This window comes from Homo sapiens, chromosome 1, assembly GCF_000001405.40.
Source record: "Homo sapiens chromosome 1, GRCh38.p14 Primary Assembly".
NCBI lineage: Eukaryota > Metazoa > Chordata > Mammalia > Primates > Hominidae > Homo > Homo sapiens.
This window is the reverse complement of record NC_000001.11, coordinates 29,944,520-29,950,519: the sequence shown is the minus strand read 5'-3', so window position 1 is coordinate 29,950,519 and position 6,000 is coordinate 29,944,520.

The window sequence follows — 6,000 nt, the reverse complement described above, 5'->3', positions numbered from 1 at the left end:
GATAAAAATCTTGAGCAGTTAAGCCACCACTTTATGCCAAGTAGTATCTGTGTCCAAATTTCCACCATGTTGGAGTTCTTTGCCTAGGGTGGGTGAGCCAGTTCTTAACCCCTTCTCGTCATTTATTTTCTTGGACCACTTTTTCCCTCAGACCACTAACTTTTGTGGGTCTGAGTTTTCCAAGAAGCAGACAGCAAAATGGAATTATACACAAACAAGATTAAGTCTGGCAAACGCTGTGAGGAGCAAATGCAAAGGGATTCCAAGAAGCCTAAAACAGCCATCAGGCTGCAATTCAGGTCTGATCCTTGTGAAGGAGAAAGAAGGAAGGGAAGGTTGGGTGGAGTATCATAGATGGTAGTGAAGGGAATGAGGTGAGCAGCTTTTAGAAAGTTTCTTCTTCATGGAGAGGGTAAAAAAAGAGCTCACATTTACCAAACACCCACTCTGAGCCAGGCCCTATATATCAGTGTTTATATAGCTCTCTAGGGCACCTTGTAAGGTGGTTACATTGCCCTTATTTTACTGAGGAGGAAGCTGATGCCCAGAGGGGCCACCTGGTTATCATATGGCAGTGAGCCAGGGCTGCTAGCCAGTGGACTGATGGCAAAGTCCATGCCTTGTCCATGGCACCACACTGGCCCTGAGAGCACCATGGACAGAGGTCCAGGTAAGTGGCCCGTCATTGGCCCAGTATGGCCAGGGCTCAGGGTCAGGGTTTGGAAGCTGTGGGAGGAGCCAGTCAGAGTCAAATCATGATAGGCTCTAAATGCCAGGATAGAGGGGTTAGATTTGATCATGTAGGCCAGAGGTGGCCTCTGGGCATATCTAGTCTGCAAGCAGGATTTGTTTAGCTCATTCAAAGTTTTAAAAACATTTGATTTAATTCCCAAGAAAAACTTTCAGATTTGAAATAAAAATCTTCATTTCTGGTCTCTCCTGAAAAATGAGAATATGTGACCATTTGGGACCCTATTTCCTATTGCAGGAGTTGAGGTGAAGTGGTGACAGGTGCTCTCCACATTGCAACCACCTACGAGGAAGCCACCACACACGAATGTCCCTGCTTGGCTCCTTGTAAATAGGATAAGTGAGGCTCTGCTGCAGTGACAATTCCAAATCTCACTGTCTTCACACAGCTCATACTGTAGGTCCAGGAGATTTGGCAATTCGGGCTGCCTCTGCAGTTCCACCACCAGAGCATAAGTCTTCCTCCAAGATGCCCAGGCCAAAGAAAGAGAGCATTGAAGGGTCTTACGCTAGAAATTAAGTACTTCAGCCTGGAGGCATCCTAAGCCTCTTCTGCTTACAACTCATTATGGAGATCTGGTCACATGAACCCAAATAATGTAAGGGGATCAGAAAGGTGGGCTCCTCCTTGCTCCAAGTAGGCATGGAAAACCACATATGAGTGGGCAGGAGACATCTTTACTCTGTGCCTATAGACTTTAAGTCTGTAACCCTGATACAGGAAGCAGCATCTCAAATTCACTTACCTAGGGCTTCTATCTGCAAGTATCATTCTAAAATTTCCTCCATGACACTTTAGTTCATTCTTACCATAACTCTATGCAGTAAGCATTACAGGACTAGTTTTATGGAGGGGAAACTGAGACAGAGAATGATTATGTAACTTTCAAGCCCAGGCCATGTGGCTCCAAAATCTGCCTTGTCAACCACCATCCTACGCTGTCTTCAGCAGAGCACAGGGAGGAAGAAGGAAATGCAAGTCATGGGAGTTCAGGCAAAGGAAAAGGGGAGGATGTGGTGGCCGTGTGTGTGTGTGCAGAGGCAGGGGTGTACGTGTGTGTGTGTGCACAGGCAGAGGTGTGTGCGCGCGCGCGTGTGTGTGTGTGTGTGTGTGTGTGTGTGTGTTTAAAGAGCACTTGGCAGTTCAGGCTTCAACAAATATTTACTGAACACCTACTGTGTGCCAAGTAGTGTTCTTGGTACCAGATGGGCTGGAGGGAGGGATAGCAGCAGGGGGCTTTGCACAGGTGGCTACACAGAGACCCAGGAAGGATAAAGGACATGCCCAGGCACATAGCAGGTGAGGGTAGGGGTAGGACCAGCTGCCCTGACTCCCTGCCAGGGCGGTCAACCCCAGCCTAGTTCTTGTCTTTGTCATAAGGCTTCCTGGGCACGTGGGGATCTGATATGATGATCATGTCACTGGGAGCCAAGCACCCCAGGCCAAGGCTCTGGCAGTGGGGACAGGCACCCCTCATGGGCTGCTGGAGGTGCCAGTCAGGGTGACTTCAGGAAAGCGACTGGGCGATAAAGCCCCCCAGCCTGGGAAGTGTCCCATTTCTGGATGTCCAAATCCCACCTGCAGGAATCTGTCCTGAGGAAGTGTTCAGGGGGCCAGGCAAAAGGTGCCCAAAACGTTCATGGCAGCCTGATGTGTTTGAGAACAGCCCCGGAAGCCTCCAAGCATCTGACAGTCGAGGATGGTGAGGTAAATGATGGTGCATCAAAATGAGGTACAATTACAAAGCTATTAACATCATGCTTTTGAGGAATTTTCAATGATGTGGGAAAATGCTGATGATATATAGTGAGTTTTTTTAAAACTCTGAATAGCTGAATAAATTGTATGATCCCAATTACATAAAATTCAATATGTGTAGTGAGAGATAAGAAGATGGGAAGGAGGAGGGAAAGGAGGAGAGGGAAAGAACCGCAAGAGGGAGAGAAACAAGGAGGAGATGGAAGAGGATGAGAAAAGGGGAAGAGGAAGGAGGAGGAGATGAAGATGATGGACAAGGAAAAGAAGAGGAGGAAGGAGATGGTGCCTTTGTACTGAGCATTTACTGCGTGCTCCGTACTACCCCATACTGTGATTCACCCCAACCCCTGGGGAGGTTCCATTGTCTTCATTCCACAGATGAGGAAAATGAAGCACAAAGAGGTTAAGTGACATGTCCAGTGTCACAGGGCTGAGCCACTGAGCCACAGTGTGAACCCAGGTCTGGCCGACCCCAACTTTTTATATTTACTAAGTTGGGGAAACTGAGGCAGGGCTGAGTGTGGGCATTTAACCTCCAGATTCAGGGTGATTTGGCAGGTTGTAAAAGGAATCCCATGAGCCTTACAGGACGTGTGGTGGTTGCAGATCACGTTACCTCTATGAGGATGGTGTCATCATCAATCCCATTTTATAGATAAGAAGACTGAGGCTGGACACAGGGGCTCATGCCTGTATCCCAATACTCTTAGAGGCTGAGGCAGGAGGATCTCTTGAGCCCAGGAGTTCAAGATGAACCTGGTAGCATAGCAAGACCGCGCTCTACTAAAAAATTTAAAAATTAGCCGGGCAGGGTGGCAAATGGCTGTGGTCCCAGCTATTCAGGAGGCTGAGGTGCAAGAATGACTTGAGCCCAGGAGACTGAGGCTGAAGTGAACCATGATTACATCACCGCACTCTAGCCTGAGCAATGGAGCAAGACCCTGTCTCAAAAAGAAGAAGAAGGAGAAAGAGAAGGAGGAGGAGGTTGGCAGTGTCTCTTCAAGATAATAGTGGAGGTGGACGCAGGTGCACCAATTCTCTTCCCCACCCTCTTACCTCTACTCTGAGTGGCTGGTCTGGGGCTGGGGAGAGATGCAGACAGGGACATAGGCTATTGGTATATCCCCTGGCAATGTCCTTACCCAAGGCCTGTGGGGATTCTGCATGCCTGCTTGTGGGGAGGAGAGAAGTGTTCTCCACTTGAGCCAGCCCAGGGTCCACCTGCAGGTACCCCCATATGACTCCATTCAAATGGGTCAGCCTCAAGGTCCTCTGAGTTAATCCATGCGTCTTCTCAAAGCTGGGGCTGCTTAGCTTAGGGATGGACAACCTAAGGGCTGCCTGGTAACCAACCTGTGACTCACATGAGCTGCTTCTGCATCCAACATCTTCTGCAAAAAGCAAACAAGAGGCAGGAGAGACTATTACTCAAGGTACCCTCAAAAGCAGAAGCCTTCCCTGCCTCACCAATGAATGACTTTTCCTAGCGCCATGTCTTCTCACCCTCTCCCCTCTTCCACCGCCAGCTCCTCTCCCTGCCTGGTCAGAGGCTCTCAAGAAACCCGGGAACAAGAACTCTACCTCTCAGGCCTGTCTGTTGACTGGCACACCTAGGAGGACTGGCACACCTAACCCCACCCTGCCCATCCTCCCAGCTGCCCTGGGGGCTTGATCCTCTCCTCCTCCTCTTATCCCCTGCTGTGCCGATGAATCTGATGCCTGCTCTAAAACATGCTGCAGCAGCTCCAGCAGGACAGGGAGGCTTCTGCAGAGGAGGAGGGAACTTAACATTTCCCTACTCCTTACCCATTCCCTCCCCATCTCTCTGCTTCCCACTCCCTCTCCTGGGGTATTTGGACTTGAGGTTTAATGCGGGCTTTGCTGTGCCTTGGCCACTGGAGTCAGGCTGTTCAGGCTCCTTCTTAGTGGAATCTCTGCTGCATCCTGTACTGTGTGCATTCACTGGGAGGAGTTGGAAGGGTTTTAATTCACTTTAATTCACCCTGTGTGTGTGTGTGCACGTGCACGCATTGAATCTTTTACAAAACACTTTTTTTCTATCCATTCTCCACAAACCAGAGAGGCTGGATGAACTATGAGTCCCATTTTACAGATGAGACAACTGAAACACACTGCTTTCTTACAGAGTTTCCACCTAGCTAGCTGTGGCAGCTGGGATGAAACTCATGTTTGATTCACAACAAATTACTGCCTCCCGCAGAGAAAGGAATCCAAAATCTCTGCAAAAGGGTGGAGGAGAGGGTCCTGAGCTGGGCAGGCTAAGGATCCTAAGTGCAAACATATCCTTTGGTCAGTGCTGGAATTGCCTCCGTCTGATCTTCTTCACTGAACCTCCCAGCTCACTCCCAACACTCCCAGTGACAGAGCAAACTCCCCATCCCGAGGACTCCCGCGACCAAGACCAGCTCTGATTACATAACCCCTCTCTTCCAATAAGCCGCAGTCTCTTCCTTCATTCCTTCGTGTAGCCATCACTCATATTGACACCTATTACGTGCCAGGTTCTGGGTGCCAGAGATACAGCAGGGAACAGGCACGGAGCTGCGTGTGTTCAAAGAAAGATACATGGAGGCAGATGAGGAAAAAGCCAGAGGCCCTGGCGGAGAGGGGGTTGATGTGGAGCCACTTTTTTTTTTTTGCAAACAGAGTCTTGCCCTGTCACCGAGGCTGGAGTGCAGTGGCATGATCTTGGCTCACTGCAACCTCCACCTCCCAGGTTCAAGCCATTCTCCTGCCTCAGCCTCCTGAGTAGCTGGGATTATAGATGCGCACCACCATGCCTGGCTAATTTTTGTATTTTTAGTAGAGATGGGGTTTCATCATGTTGGCCAGGCTGGTCTCAAACTCCTGACCTCGTGATCCACCCACCTTAGCCTCCCAAAGTGTTGGGATTACAGGTGTGAGCCACTGCGTCCCGCCTGGGGCCACTTTTGACCACGACTGGGGAGTGTACACTCTTTTATCTGATCTGTGGCTGCTCAGCTCACCTGCCCCAGGCAGCTCCAGCCAGTCTCCACCGGCCTGCTCTGAGGGATCTCCCCCAGCCTTGGGCCCCCCCAGAGTCTCAGAGGGTCTTCTCGTCCTGTGAAAGGGGCTGCTGATACTGTGGTGAGCAGCTCTGTGCCACAGCCACCCTCCATGGCCATGTCCTTGGCTTCCTGCTTGGGCCATCGTAAAAGGCAGAGCTGGCAAAGCCATTCGGGGCTCTGCCTTCCCTTCCCCTTGCCAGAAAGCTAATTGGTTTTGCAATTTAAAAACGCAGAGAACAGGCGATGCGATCACTTCTATGAAAACTTGTTCAGTAATGAAGTGTTTGCTTCCAAATGGGGTGCCTCTCAGTATATCAATCTGGGCCCCTCGCGCAGCTTGACAGAGGCAATCCTCGTCTGCCTCATTTTCCAGATTCTGATGCGGTTTGCTGGGTCCAGGAAGGACCTCGAGGCATCGCTGAAACCTGGCCCCCTGGCTCA